General features: G+C 35.0%; 1 protein-coding gene across 2 annotated transcripts in view; it reads right to left on the bottom strand.

Moving 5' to 3' along the window:
- MDFIC (MyoD family inhibitor domain containing) overlaps positions 6335 to 16347 on the bottom strand; it is a 97824-nt gene continuing 87811 nt past the window's right edge. For both annotated transcript variants that reach the window (NM_001166345.3, NM_199072.5), the window contains exon 5: positions 6335 to 10564. In NM_001166345.3, coding sequence (NP_001159817.1) covers positions 10317 to 10564 — 248 coding nt within the window. In that variant the 3' untranslated portion in view covers positions 6335 to 10316. The remainder of the gene's footprint in view (positions 10565 to 16347) is intronic.

Genomic DNA, 16347 nt, shown 5'->3' with positions numbered 1-16347 from the left:
GATTAAAGACTTAAACGTTAGACCTAAAACCATAAAAACCCTAAAAGAAAACCTAGGCATTACCATTCAGGACATAGACATGGGCAAGGACTTCATGTCTAAAACACCAAAAGCAATGGCAACAAAAGACAAAATTGACAAATGGGATCTAATTAAACTAAAGAGCTTCTGCACAGCAAAAGAAACTACCATCAGAGTGAACAGACAACCTACAAAATGGGAGAAAATTTTTGCAACCTACTCATCTGACAAAGGGCTAATATCCAGAATCTACAATGAACTCAAACAAATTTACAAGAAAAAACAAACAACCCCATCAAAAAGTGGGCGAAGGACATGAACAGACACTTCTCAAAAGAAGACATTTATGCAGCCAAAAAACACATGAAAAAATGCTCATCATCACTGGCCATCAGAGAAATGCAAATCAAAACCACAATGAGATACCATCCACACCAGTTAGAATGGCAATCATTAAAATGTCAGGAAACAACAGATGCTGGAGAGGATGTGGAGAAATAGGAACACTTTTACACTGTTGGTGGGACTGTAAACTAGTTCAACCATTGTGGAAGTCAGTGTGGCGATTCCTCAGGGATCTAGAACTGGAAATACCATTTGACCCAGCCATCCCATTACTGGGTATATACCCAAAGGACTATAAATCATGCTGCTATAAAGACACATGCACACGTATGTTTATTGCGGCATTATTCACAATAGCAAAGACTTGGAACCAACCCAAATGTCTAACAATGATAGACTGGATTAAAAAAATGTGGCACATATACACCATGGAATACTATGCAGCCATAAAAAATGATGAGTTCATGTCCTTTGTAGGGACATGGATGAAATTGGAAATCATCATTCTCAGTAAACTATCGCAAGAACAAAAAACCAAACCGCATATTCTCACTCATAGGTGGGGATTGAACAATGAGATCACATGGACACAGGAAGGGGAATATCACACTCTGGGGACTGTTGTGGTCGTGGGGGGAGGGGGGAGGGATAGCATTGGGAGATATACCTAATGCTAGATGACAAGTTAGTGGGTGCAGCACACCAGCACGGCACATGTATACATATGTAACTTACCTGCACAATGTGCACATGTACCCTAAAACTTAAAGTATAATAATAATAATAATAATAATAATAATAATAATAAAGATCTGATAACAGACCCACCTTACTTTAGAAATGTTTGGTGCCAAAGGCATATAGATGCCATGTTAACTTTTAACAATTGGGTACATTTATATAGAATCCCCAAATATGGCATTTCTGGGTGGATCTGTAAGCTGTAAGCTAAGATTTCTCTATGGGTATATTTATGTTGATAGTGATACTGAGTCATTTTAGGTTGTGGGAAATAAAGGAAAATGTCATCACCTTTGGGGATCCTAAAGCCTTGTAACTCGACCATAAGCTTTGTATCACCCATGGTAATGATACCCTCTTTCTTTCCCTGTCCCCTACCCCCAGATTGTTACATTGTCAAATGTTAACAAGGAGGATATGTAGGCATTGAACTAAAACTATTAAGTTTCTGGAGTGTCTAGTGTAGTTCTTGTATTATTGTATTATTATATTTGAGTAACTGTCAATGTTAAACAGACACAAATATACAAGATACCCCAGGATTTATATTTTCATAAATCTTAGAAATACATGATAACAAGATTGAACTCAGACATGTGCGTCTGCACACAAACAAGATCGCTTTTTCTCACTACCTCATTATTCAAAGTACTGACAGGAAACAGATGGCTCCCTCATAGGGTTTAATTGAAGGGAGATTAATAAAAGGGACTGTTAGCAGAGAAACAATCAGTTGTAAGAAGACCAGCAAAGGAGTTTAAAGTTCCAGGAACTAACAACATTGGAAAACCTCTGCTTCTCCAAGCCTGAAGAGGTACCAGGAGAGAGCTGTAGCTGTGGGAGAGGGGCCGTTGCACAGGAAACCCTAATGTGGAGGAACAGAGCTACTATCAAACACTGTCTGGAAGGAACAGGGGCAAGGGTGGGGTGGGAATTAATACCTTGACTTCTCTCCCATCTTTTGATTTCCCACCAGTGCCTACCATCAGCCAAAGCCAACTGGAAATCAGAAAGCAAGACACCCTGGCACAAAATCAGGCAGAAAGAGAAAACTGATCTGAGGGTGGTAAATGGAAAATGAATGACACCTAATCTTATGAAGAACATCTAACTCTTGATTCTTCATCCACCCAAAAACAATGGACATCATTGATAAGTAGGCACAGAACAGTAACACATTGTGAGTTCATTGACTTTTGGGTCAATGCATGCCATGAAAGATAAGTAGTACAGTAGCTATGAATTTTATTCGCCCTTAGAGCCCAAGTCATGATACCCACTCAAGGTAGGAAAGATGGGAGACAAGAAACAAGACAGGCAAGACTTCAGATCCGCGTGTTTCCATCCCAGCTTCAAGCCAAGCTGTTTTGATTGAATCTATTTATTATATTTGGTAATATGTAAAATTACATAAGAAATATACCCGTCTAATGGAAAGATCCAGAAATAGAAATTAGGTTTCCTAGGTCTATTGGTAACTAACAATGTTACTTTAAAAAGTAAACTTAAGCAATCTGTCCCAGTTTTTTCCTCTGTAAAATGGAAGTTAAAACGTCTATCCTAGAAGAATCACAGTTTTGTGAAGATCAAATGAGAAAACGGATACGGTTTTCTTCTGAAAAGTTAAACAAGCTCTACAAATGTCAGCCCTATCACTTTTGCTATCTCCTAAAGCTGTCCCTGAGTGTAAGCTGCCAATCACCACATCCTCTTTTTTGGGCTATCTTTCCTCTACACATGGAGCACTTCCCTCAACTCCAACTTAAACATCACACACAAAGGAAAGATAAGCAGCAAGAAAATCCAAATGCATTGGCAATACCACTGCATGTTAAAAAAAAGAACTAGATTCACGTTGAACTTCGTTTTTGTGGTGCATAACTCCCCTTTCCATAGGTCCTATTAACTTCAAAGGGAGCTCCGTGCATGTAAATGATTATATTTATTGGATGCGCCAACTCTTTCTTATCCTCTGGGCACAATTAGAAATATCATAGAAAAATGAATGTCAGAGACTTGGATCCATATTTGATATTCTATGGGAAATTCCCCACAGTTACAGATGTTAAAAATCCTGCCCAATGGTCCAGTTATAAATTTATAGTATTTCCTTTTCTATATCCTTGGAATTATTTCTCTCTGATTTCCTTTTTACATTAAAGGAAACATATTCCCTTCAGGTCCAGATAAACTAGTGATAAAACCTTGGCTTGTTGTACAGCTTGATGTAGTAATAAAAATTTAGACTGTGTAACCCGTCTCTTTCAAGAAACTGTTAGTGCTTCCCTGAGATTATCCCATTAATACTTACAGCAACTCTGTTCCTACTTTATGTTCACTCTGGGAACTGCTCTTAGAGTCAGTGTCCAGGAACTCAATTCTTGGATGTTCATTTTAATATCATATCCATTAAACCACACTGTAATTTCAGTGTTCCTTGTCAATTCAGGCCATTATCAAGATTTTTGATAGGTGGCTAATAAACAGCGTTCTCTAGTTGAAGTCGCCACAATAAATTAAAATTGTATGGAGCCCTGTGCTTTTCACACCAATTTGGTGTTTTTTTGCTTTAAATTTAGTAGTCTCATGGCTAACAGTGGAAGCATCTCTAGGACTGACTCTGACAACATAACGACCCCATCCAGTGCTATCAGTGAATATAAAGACCTTGGAAATGTTATAGACATGGCTCCTCAGCAATATTACATATTATATGTTTTATATATAATCTAAGGGTAGGTTAACTCTTTAGCTGCGTATTTTTTAAAGTGACAAAAAAGGAGAAAAATAGAAGAAACCTTTCAAATTAAATATTTAGAACTATTATAAAAGAGAAAATGTTACTATTAAATGATGAAAAACATTGCTGGAAATGTACCCACATCTGATGTATGGTTGGGAAGATACAAAGGCTTTTTAAAATAATGTTTTGATAAGCAATATGACTTACAAAAGATTCATTTTAACTAGTCTTACAGACAAATAAACCATATCAGATTAATTTGGACCCATTTTTAATTATTTGTAAAAAATAAGTAAGGGCAGTCTAATTGTTGTAAATATTTATAGAGCAAAACAATGCAAACTACATATAACAATCAAATTTCTAGCAAAAATGTGTGTAAGTAGGTTTATTTTGAAAGGAAAAGTCCTACTCCCAGTGTCATAACCAATTAAATTCTCCGGGTAATGACCCCATTTGCATAGCGAGCGGAACCCACAAGTGGGAATTTTAATGGGTACACCACCTGAGTACAGTAATTGAGAGTGACACAACTTGAACTAGTTTTGTGCTTACCCCACTGAAAATTCTACTCATATTATTTTTAATGTCAAGCTACAAGTCAAATTTCAAGATGATGGATTTGTTCTTTTTTAAGCACTGAGTTTGAATAAAAGAAATGCTTTAATTCTGTTATGCATTGCATATCTTTGCTTTAACTAATCTGTACTTCTGATTCTCACCATTGCTTCATTTTCTTCAGTGATTGGAATTTAATTTTATTCATTAATTTGTGAATAATTAGATAAAAAATAATGTCCTCAGCTGCTAAATTGCTTTTGGATTGCGATTTAATGTACTTTTACCAGAATATGTATTATAGTTAGGCTGGCATAACAGTTTACTAAAATGTAATTGTGTAAATATGCCCAATTATTCTTTTTGATGATCTAACAAAATCTAATATAATATGTATTCATGAGTATTTTACTCCTCCTTCACCTCAGCACCAATAAAACACAGTTTCTGCAGAGCTGATCAGAGACACCTTGTCATCTAAAGATGTTACTTTTAAAAGATATTCTCCTTATCTCTCAGGCACTATTCATGTCCTTGAAAGAATTGTGCATTCTGATTGAGGGAGCATATGACGTCCACATGAAATTATATAATAAAGGTGATTTCAAGACTCTAAAAGTCAAACACACACGATTAACTAGGTTTTGAGGTGACATTTTAAAACTTCTTTTGTTTCACTCTAAGATTGCTTGCGATCTAACTGTTTGTAGGTGTTTGACACCACTCTGCCACATCTGTAATTGGCATAGCATCCAGCAGACAGGCTCTGTACATCTTTACACTGCAACCTACCAAGTTAAGAAATGTATTGGTTCAATATAAAACAGCAGGCTGTTTTTAGACATAGTTACTAGTGCACAAGCTTTAATATGGCTTGGCTTCATCCTATAATGAGATCTTTTGGTTCCCTGCTCAACAGGCTTTTATTCCTTTGCAAAAGGCTATGAACTATGTCAAGTGGATCAGCTGCTTTTGTACACCCTCTTTCTTGGCTTTGGAGCATAATTCCTTTGCTTCTACCCCTTTATGCATCAGACAGAACTTAAGAACCTTTTCCATTTTTCAAGCTAAACTTAGAATTTGTTTGAATTTGCTTTTCACCATTTTCCTAATAATTACATTCTCAACTAAACCTCACACAAAGACCTGCCTGGAAGTGAACACCTAATTGCAGAGCTATACTTTGTCTTTAACACATATATCTATACCCCATGTTGGTAATGTGTCAAAGGATGGTTATCTGAAATGATTTCTTCATGGTCACCTCACAACTAAATTAATGCTTCCTTTTCAGTGAGCACTAAATGGAATGTGGTAAGGAATTGAGGGCATAAGCAGACAAACAAACAAACAATGGAAGCAGAACTACTAGCCACAGTTCAGTCAGAAGGCAGGAAGCTACTTAACTTGACATCTAGCTGCTTAAGTGTTATAGCTGAGGCTCTAGTGGAAAGTGTCATGCTATTATGACAGCTTGGTGAAGAATAGGTGGTGCAGATTCTGTTTGCATAGAGACATTGCTTTCCAGGTGGGGCTCCGCTGCGGCTTTATTTCATTTCCAGATTGTCTATTGTCTTCATAAAAATTTGGTCATAAATATGATATTTTGAGTTACAGTGTTTTAAAAGGGGCAGTCATTGTCCACTGAGAATTTTGCAATGTATGTAGAAGATTTAGTCACCAATGACAGTTTTTGCAACACCCACCCTCCATGTTAGGGCTGCATTACAATAGTATCCCCTCTCCACAACTTCTTCTATTTTAAACAAACTCTAAAAGCAATCTTAAATAAGGAAGTAAATACTGGCAGGTTCACCGTTGAAACTGTTTTCTCATGGGAGGTGCCAAACTTATTCCCTGGGTTGAAACTTCTTGAGGGTTATGTGACTTTCTTGAGGTGTCTAGTATCAATCCAAGCACAAAGAAAACACTCACTGCAATTTATTGTATAAGCATACGAAGATGAAGGGTTGAAAGGATTCTCTTTTAATACCCAATGCTTGATTATAAAAACTATAAATAGTAAGTGTGGAACAAACCCTATTAATATATTAACCATTGTTTAAAACAAAAATGATATGTTCTGTTGTATTAGTGCAAAAGAAAACAAAATGGATATTATAGTATTTGATGACATTTTCTGTTGCCAGTCAGATTAGATGCAACAATCCTACAGGCCTACAAATCACAAGTAATTGGAAGGGGCATAAAGGTCTTAAATAATTTGAAAAATAATCTTATTAACAAATAACCTGATTCATTAGGCAGTTAGGTAAATCTAAGCATTTAACTAGCATTCAAGAAGGCAAGATACTTATTTATGTTAATAAGTCTCGAGTCTTATTTATGTTGGGCAGTGATGTTTGACGTTTATAACATTAGAATCTAGGGCACTGAAAGAGTTTGTATGGATAAAGAATGGAAAGTTATTACATAAGGTTGCCTTGGTTACTCCTTGAACTGCTCAGATAACATTGACTATCCAGGTGAGGAAAATGGATACAGTTGATACACTGTAAAAATGAAAAAATAATTTTCTAAATAAAAAGCCTTCTCCTAAATAAAGTCATACTGTATTGTTTTAGTTAGATGCTAACTGCGAGCATTTACAAAAATTTCGCCACTCTATGCCTTAGATGAAAATTCTTCTGATCATTTATTTTCGAGTGAAATTCATTAAATCTAAGACTCAATTTCATATATGTTTGATCATTTTTACCTTGGTTTTTAATCTCAGCATATATTGTAAAATTACCTTAGTTTTTCTAAGTGGAAATATAGCTCCAAAGTAAATAAATGAAATTAACTTACTAAAACGATGTAAAAAAAAAAAACTTGTATTTTGACATATTATAGATTTTTAAAAGAACACTGTGTTTTGAAATCACATGTCAATGATCATAAACTGATCGATATCTTTCATAGTTCATTTACGGACATGAGTCATGTGATTTACATAAGAAGACTAGGAAATCTTCAGACAGGGATGAAACATGATAAAGATAACCTTCAGATTTTAACTTATGGTTGAATTCTTTCAAACATTAGTCAATATGTCAATTAGATATAAACATACGGTAAAGCAAAATAAAGAAGTCATTTTTAAAAATTTTCAAAATAGTGTATTCAGGATAATACAGGTCCAGTTTTAAAATATTTTAAAAGCCTTTCCACATTTAAAAGGACACCGCCTGTAACTATAAATTCTAGCACTTAGTCATGATAGCCATATACTTCAACAAAACATTTTACATTAAGAAATCATAAGATATATTGAAACTATTTTCACATTTGCCTACTTTTCCTTTTTCTGTTTTCCTTTTAATTATACAAATGCTTTATGGAATAACTGTCTGGAGTAGACAAGAGGAAAAGTACTATGAACATAAATACAAAAATAAAATTCTGGTATCCATTAACATTCTCTGTTATGGAGAAACATTATTGCAAATGTGCTAATATTTTCATCACAAATTGTGCCAGTACATGTTTAAATATTAGACAAACCACTTGGTTGAAAAACTTTGCATATAAAAAGTCAAATATTCTAACAATTCCAGGTCATTAGGAGGTTTCATGTGTCCATAAACAGATGATATTCTCACATCCTAATATATGAGCATAAGTTAATTTTGGGTATATGTAAATATTTAGATTGTGGTTACTGTAAAATAGTATAAAGATTTCCTTATATTTTATGTAACAAATGAATTAAGTTCTTTAGAGGAGAAAAATGAAGACAGCTGTTTACCAGAATTATATTCAGATCCCAAAATTTAAAGGTTTTGTATGTGTGTATGTATGTGTAAATAGCAATAAAAGAAAGATTCAAAAGTTTGCTAAGTTTTTTCTTTTTAAGCCCTTTAAGTAATGATATAACTAGAAACTACGTTTCATCTCAAAGGAAAAACCACAGGTGATATATTCTCATGCTTCAGGTTAAAAACCTCTCTTAAAAGGCTAGGTTTGCGAAAGCCTTCCTAAAATTATGCTTCTGTTGTTACTATCAATTTGATATTCAGCCAGAAAAATTAAAAATAATTATTAATCCCAAAGCATACTTTCAAAATTTCTACTAAGAATTATATTAAATCAAACCAAACTACAATTTTAGAGAGATCAAACTGAGTAGGAGAGAGCATGGTATGAAAATTTACTCTCCCTTTCATCTAAGCCACACACTATAGGTCTCAATAACTATACAATTACTCTTGTAATTGACTGATTTCTTTACACTTAAGGATCATTATAACCTGCCATATTAGTTTAATTTAACATAAAATCGTAATACAGAAATTTGGTCACAGTAGGGGATATCTAGATTTCTTCTGCATTGAAAAGAATGGTTTCCATTTATCTGTGTTTACAAAAAATAGCACTGCTTAAGAAACAAACTAAACAACTAAAATGTTCTCATCCCAAAAAGACCTAAAGCTCTCAAAATAAAAGAAAGCCTTTCAATAACTCAGAACACTGGGATTTTAATATTAAAAATTTCCTAATTTAAATGAAATGTGTCAGAGTACTCAATCTTCTTTATTAAATAGAGCTATTTTACTAAGGCATTATGTTTTCATCAAAAAAGTATGATAACATTTAAATTATGTGTAAGAAAATGCATATTTTTAGTTAATTTAAACTTTATAGCTTTTTCAAAAAGCTGTATTCCTACAACTAATAAAAAAGTATGCTGAAGGCACTGTTCTTTTAACTGGTTAAAGGCACACACAGTTTAGGGTGTCCACCTAAATCTTTGTCAAAAATCTAAATAATTCATTTAAATAGCAGGTGAATCACTCATTCTAAGAGAGTCCTCAAATGCCACATTCTCCCTGAAACCTTACTGAATATTCTGGTAGCAATTCTCTGCATATTCCAACAGCATTTTGAGTTTATTTCTCTTATAATCCTCACTTCAGTATGCCTTGTGGTATGGTTCATTCTTTACAGATCTCCTTAGTCTGCTAAATCTCATGTTCCTGTGGACAGGAGTGGAATTGTATCTGTCCCCACAGTCTGAGGAAGAGAGTCCACACAGTCGGCATTCAGAGTCTGTTGAACAAGTGGAGAAGGTAAGGGAGAGAGATCAACACTGGTTCCCAACTATTATGTGGGTTTGTTTCCTAAAGTTTCTTTTAAAATAAAGACTGGTTTGTTTATTTATTTATTTATTTATTTATTTATTTATTTATTTATTTAGAGATGGAGTCTCGCTCTGTTGCCCAGGCTGGAGTGCAGGTTGGAGTTCAGTGGCACAATCTCGGCTCACTGCAACTTCCGCCTCTCGGGTTCAAGCAATTCTCCTGCCTCAGCCTCCTGAGTAGCTGGGACTACAGGCGCACACCGCCAAGCCCAGCTAACTTTTTGTATTTTAGTAGAGATGGGGTTTCACCATGTTGCCCTGGCTGGTCTCGAACTCCTGAGCTCAGGCAATCTGCCCACCTTGGCCTCCCAAAATGCCAGGGTTACAGGTGTAAGCCACCGTGCCTGGCCAAGACTGCTTCCTTTCAATCATGAATAGATACATATCAAAATAAACTGCCTCGTTTAAATACACACTGAAAAATAATATATTTGGAGCAAAGTGCTCCTGAGAACGGTTAAAAGAAACAGAAATATCGGTAAAAAGGAGAAGGCATTTAACATTTGGGAAGGGGGGTGTCAAAATGTCCCTAAGTTATTGTAACATATTAAGAAATTTATAAAACTAGTTAAAGTAGTTAAAATTTCACATATTAAACCATGTAGATTTGGTTAAAGTAAAAAGGCTTTCAGAGATTACTTACAATAATGAGTTAACAGTGCAAATTCCATGTTGTTTCATGAGAATCTTACAATGTGCTTTTCTTCCCCCCAAAAGGAAATTTTTAAACACTCTCCAGTTTTAACACAAACAAAAGATAAATATTTATGAAGGAAAACAAATTCCACAGCATTCCATACAGATTTCCAAGCAGTCTGATGATTCACAACAGGCATCCATGATGCCACAGTCCATATCACAAGGGCAGTTACAATCATCCCCCATCTCGTCACCACAGCAACAGCAGCAGGCTTCTGAGGTGCAGATGCCACATGACGCTTGTCCCAGGACAATGTTGCAAAGGGTCAGGAATTCGCAGAACAAGCAAGCCAGGATACAGTGGACACAACAATCTTCATTTTCAGTGATGAGGAGACCATATAGTGAGAAAAAGGAGGAACACAAAATACGTGTTATCAATTGACTCAATAAGAATTGAGCAAAATAGTTAAGTAATCCACAACCCAAATGAAGTTTGCTTTGTGAGCTGGAAGCTCAAAAAGGAGCTTAAGTTAAACTCTAGATGAGTGATCTTTAGAAGTAGATACTTAGTTCGAAAAAAAAAAAGTATTGTGTGTACGCACATGTGTTCACATGTATTAGATTATTACTCTCACAAACTGTGCAATGACCCTTGGTCCTAGATACCACTTCTCTATCCTTCTTACTCATCTTTCTATATCCTATTGCTCTTTATAACACTGGGCTAAAACAACTGCATTATAGTTATTAAAGTCCTTCAGAAATAGAAATTTCCTTCAATTGCTCCACCCACCTGCTCTAAAATTGGAAAAGAACAAACTTAAATAAGAAATGTTTTATATATTATTGAAAAATTAATTCAATAGTTAAACCAGAATCCATTAAGACTTCACTTTCCAATACAAATGATTCAATTTCATGGTTTTAGTCTTTTTATTTCACAAATATTAAATAAAAACAGTGAGACTCTCTGGTTGGGTCCAACTATCATTTCTAGAACGGTTCTTCTGCCTACTTCTAACAAAGGAATTTGTACCTTAGCAAATGTGAATAATGACACAGTAACATTGCTTTCCCACTTCCTTTGGTGGCAAAGAACTTTAACATCTCTGTTATCTCCTGACACATCTCTAATAATGTAATGCCTCTCTAAACAACAATGTTCATTAAACTTCAAAAACTGATTTAAAAAATTGAGAAATCAAACAAATTATAATTTAATAAATTTAGATTCTAATGTTCTAATGTCCATTCCTTTATAATTCTGGGGCAAGTGAGAGGGGTAATGGAAGGAAATTTCTATTTCTAGATAACTTTAACACATGTAATAACATCATTTAAAACCAATGTTATAAAACATTTGCCTCATATCAGAAATAGTTGTGAATTTTTACCAGAATTAATTCTGGGTTGTTTTGTGTGGGTTCCTTGTTTTTTTGTTTTTGTACTTTGTATAATGTAAGTTTTAATAAGAAGATTCCACAACCTACAATAGCGATAAGACACAACAACCCCACCCTCTTACCATTGTCACATGTCCTTTGTGTTTCTGTATTTGGCATTAAAATTAAGTGCCTTCGATGGAGTGTCAGCAAACTGAAAACCAAAGATGTAGGAAAGAAAACCAGCTTGTTGCTTGGCAGCCATGCTATAATAAAAAATCATGCGCTTCTCTATAGAATGCCATATAACTGCAAGTAGATGTGAATTGACAGAATCCCTCTACTATAACTTCCTTGGCTACAAATGCTTCAGGTAAAGAAAAACAAACACCAGGGTACCTACGGCAGTCTCTTAACTCTGCAGGCCTATCCCTAAGCATCCCATCCTAAACTCCCTAACTCCTTGAACACCCCTCTGTTTCTCTGCAGTCTCTAACTTTGTAGAGAATTCAGAGGATGAAAGGAGAAAATGTGGAAACACAAAGTCATACACTCCACTTGGCAGATGGTGAAAAGGAGGAAGGGTCAGAGAGTACTCAAAAGGGAAATTCCAGAGTTGTGTTTGTAGAAGGACACACTGTTCTTTCCTTTCTTTTTAGTGCCAAGCCCACTTTTACATATGATGGTCCATGCAGCGACTGGAAAAACAAAAACAAAAACAGAGTTGTGAGAGTTTTCAGGTCTCTCCGTCTTCCCCTAATATTGATTTCTGGTAGTAACCAATCATTTCAGGGGATCTCTAAAATCCACCTACATGAATAAAGGCCCATGACCTTACAACGTTCTGGATTTCTAGACAGTGTCCGTGGTTTCCCTCTATCAACACTGTTTCCATACTTTCATCTCAGCATCTGTCTTATATGACTCTCTTCAGTTGAGTTTTTCCAGAATTACATTATCGTCATGATTTGTAAAATATTTGTAATGTTATAAACAGCCAGCTTCATTATTACTTAGAAGATAGTGTTTAACTGGCAGCAAGCCAGTTTTATTCAATGTACCTTCAAGTGAATATCCATATTATCTAATTCCAACAATACCTCACTGAAACCTTAACTTTCTATTCCACTATGCAATGCTTAAATATCAAGATTGAGAGAGGGACTCTACAAAAACCCACCTGACATTGAAGAACCTTTAACTGAATATTTTTAAAAGCCTAAGAGTAGTTATTGATTATGTAAATTATTTATATACTAGTCGTAAAATTTATCAGACATAGAACTATATATAATGGATCTATCCATTTTAAAGGGGAAAGAATGTCTCGTTCCAGCCTTAGAAATAGACGGTTACAATATTTTTGAAGCCTCCTTTAGTCCTTTCCTGAATCCATCTTCCTCTCCATAGAAGTAACCACTGTCTTAAGTATTAAATATTAAATGATCTTTCCCTTGTTTTTTATTGTATTTTTCACAGCAGTACATGTGTACACACCCCTAAAAAATATATCAGAATGGAAACTATACTCCGCAAATTGCTGTGAGTAGCATCTTCGGCTCAACATCCTGTATTTGAGATTTATCTATGTTGATTCGTGTAGCTGTAGTTCACTCATTTTCCAGGTGCTTAGTATTCCATTGAATTAACATACAATGATTGATGTATCCATTCTACTATTTTTTATTTTTCTTTTTTGAGACAGAGTCTTACTCTGTCACCCAGGCTGGAGTGCAGTGGCGCGATCTTGGCTCATTGCAACCTCCGCCTCCTGGGTTCAAGCGATTTTCCTGCCTCAGCCTCCCCAGTAGCTGGGACTACAGGTGCCGGCCACCATGCCTGGTTAATTTTTTGTATTTTTAGTAGAGATGAGGTTTTACCTTGTTGGACAAGCTGGTCTCGGACTCCTGACCTCAGGTGACCCACCTGCCTTGGCCTCCCGAAGTGCTGGGATTACAGGTCTGAGCCATTGTGCCCAGCCTCATTCTACTATTTATGGATATTTTGGTCATCATCAGTGTTTTTGGTGCTCCTAACATCGCTGTTCTTAACATTGCAGTTTGAAACAATCTTATCCAAGTCTCCTAACATACATGCTAAGTAACCAGCAGTAGGATGGTTGGGTCACAGGCTTGCTCATCTTTAATCTTATTAGATAATGCCAAATTTGTTCCCAAGATTGTTGCTCCAAAATTTACTCCCACAAACCAAGTATGAGAGTGCTCATTACTCCACATTCTCACCAATCTTTGAAACTGTCACAATTTAACATGTGCAAGTTGTGTGTGAAATGGCGTCTCATGGTGGTTTTATTTTGCCTTTCCTTGTTTCCTAATAGGTTTGGACATTTTTTCATGTTCATTGGCCATTCATGTTTTCTCTTCTTTGAAATGAGTGTTCAGCATGTTCATGTTTTTCCCTAACTTTTATATTGGGTTGCCTCCTTTTTCTTATTAATTTGTAAAGGTTTTTCAGATATTCGAGATACTGGTCCTTTGTTAAATGATTGTCTTCTCTCAGAATGTGACTTGTCTTAATTAAAATAAACTAACAAAAGGGAGATAAGTTAACTTTTGAACTCAGAGAGTTTAAGGTGAGGAAGGGAAAGCCAAATTAAATCTTGTTTGATAACACTGGATATGGGATTACATGGCTGAGGAAGTTAAGTGACAGATAGAAAAATCTGATAATTAGCAAAAAGAAGAAGAGGTGTTAATAAGATTTGATAGCAGAATGAAATAAAAAAGTTTTAGTGTCTGATTCAAACCAAGGAACTCAGCTATGCTGATGACAGAAAGGCGGAAGAAACCAATAAGCAATTAGGAGAGAGAGATTGGATGTGACTGGTGTGAGATCAATAGCCCTGAGGATGAAGAGAGATGGGAGTGACATTCCAAACTAAACCACTAGTTGCCTCCCATAGGATATATTCATTTGAGAATTAATATTTCTTCCAGATCTTAGACTACAATGACACATGTCATTAAGATTTTAAAAGCCTTAAGCCAAGAAATGAATCTCTCATAACTCCTACTTTAGTAAATAAGATTTACAAATTAATTTGCCTGTTAAAATATCATTTTATTTTTAGTAGACAAAGAATTTTTTTTAAGTTCTTAGGTCTAAATAGATCCAACACTCCTTTGCTAACTTATCTTCCTCAACAAAACCTGTTTTCTATAACTAATTGGTGTAAGTGGTTGCTTTACTAGAATGGGAGCTCTAGCTTCAATGCAGGGAAAGTATTTATTTGCTGTTTTCAAAATTGAGAAACATATTATCTTAAAAGTAGAGACGTTTTCATCAATTTTTCATTTTTGAAAAAAATTAGAAAATTACTTTGTACTAAACTCTCTTGTAAGGTCTTTATAAATATTGATTAATTTTATTCTAATAATACTCCTAAGAAGTCATACCGGTATTATGCCTATTTTACCAATGCAGAGACTCATTCACAGAAAATTTAGGAAATTTTCCCAAGGTCATAGAGGGAGTGAGTAGCAGAAACAGGATCAGGACCCAGGCAGTTAACCTCCTGAGACCATGCTCTCAGTCAGCAAGCTATGCTGCTGCTACAGGAGTGGGTCACTTCTAACACTGGGTTGATGTTCCTTGGAGGAAGGTCAGTTACAAATCCAAAACTTTCTGCTGATTTGTTTTGTTCATCTATCTGTTTTTAGCCTTGGTTTGTGTTCCTTTTCTTTTTAAAAAATTATTCTGAATTTTCATTTTAATAAAAAGTTGAAAGTAAATGTTACCCTTCAATATGTAAGAACAAGTCATCACTAAGTTGAAGAATTAATAAACTGCCAGTTGCATTGTTAAAATAGACATAAGAGAGAAGGCAGTGTGGAAGGAGATGATGTCTCAATCAAAAGAAACAAATCTATAAATTTAAAACATAAACGTTAAGGACTGCAGTTACATGATCAAGAGCTCCATATGCAGTAGCTATTTATGTAAATATTAAAACTTACAAAATGGAGACATTGTTTTAAAACAAAGTCCTTTATAATTTACTAGAAAAGCACTTTGGGTTACTCTGAAAAACCAAATCTATTAACAGGCATCTAGAGAAGCCACAAACCAAAATGCATTTACAAGATCATAGAGATATTAAACAACATGTATCTACAGAAGTATCTACCAGAAACACATTCATATTCTGTATTTTTTTAAATAGAGAAATATCTAGAAATTACAACAAAAAATTAGCCAAAAAAGGTTCCTTAAATTCTACCAGATCTTTAAATGATCTGATTGTTATTCCTTGTCAAAAATGAATTTTTTTTTTGGTGGGTCTTTTTATAAAACCCTTCTATTTGTAACCTTCTATTTCTAAGTCATAGTTTGACTGTGACTCAGGGTAATGAAAAGGTTAAAATAAACTAAGAAGAAACAGTAGTTATAGTTCCTATTCCTACCACTGCCAACAGGAATCAAGAGTCATAAAAGGCACAATAATGGTGGTTTTATTTGAGGCAAAGAGAAGATCATAAGAATGATCAAACTTAAGAAGGCTTGAATAGAGAAACAAACTTTTTTTAAAAAAATGGGTCCTCTGCATCCATGTGGCTTGCAGTCAGGAATCATCTTTTTCCCCTGTTCTTAAGATTTCAGTTTTTATGGTTTTATTCAGTCATTATTTACAGTTTTTGCCAAAACTGTTTAACCTCTGAGAAGACCACTTGGTTCTGGGAAAGATGCCTGTCCAAAACTGGGCCAAGCAAGAATTGCACAATTCAGTGTACTTGGAGGAGAACTCAGCACAA

This window comes from Homo sapiens, chromosome 7 (assembly GCF_000001405.40).
Source record: "Homo sapiens chromosome 7, GRCh38.p14 Primary Assembly".
Classification (NCBI taxonomy): domain Eukaryota; kingdom Metazoa; phylum Chordata; class Mammalia; order Primates; family Hominidae; genus Homo; species Homo sapiens.
The sequence above is the reverse complement of the archived record's forward strand: the minus strand, read 5'-3'. Positions and strand labels throughout refer to the sequence as shown.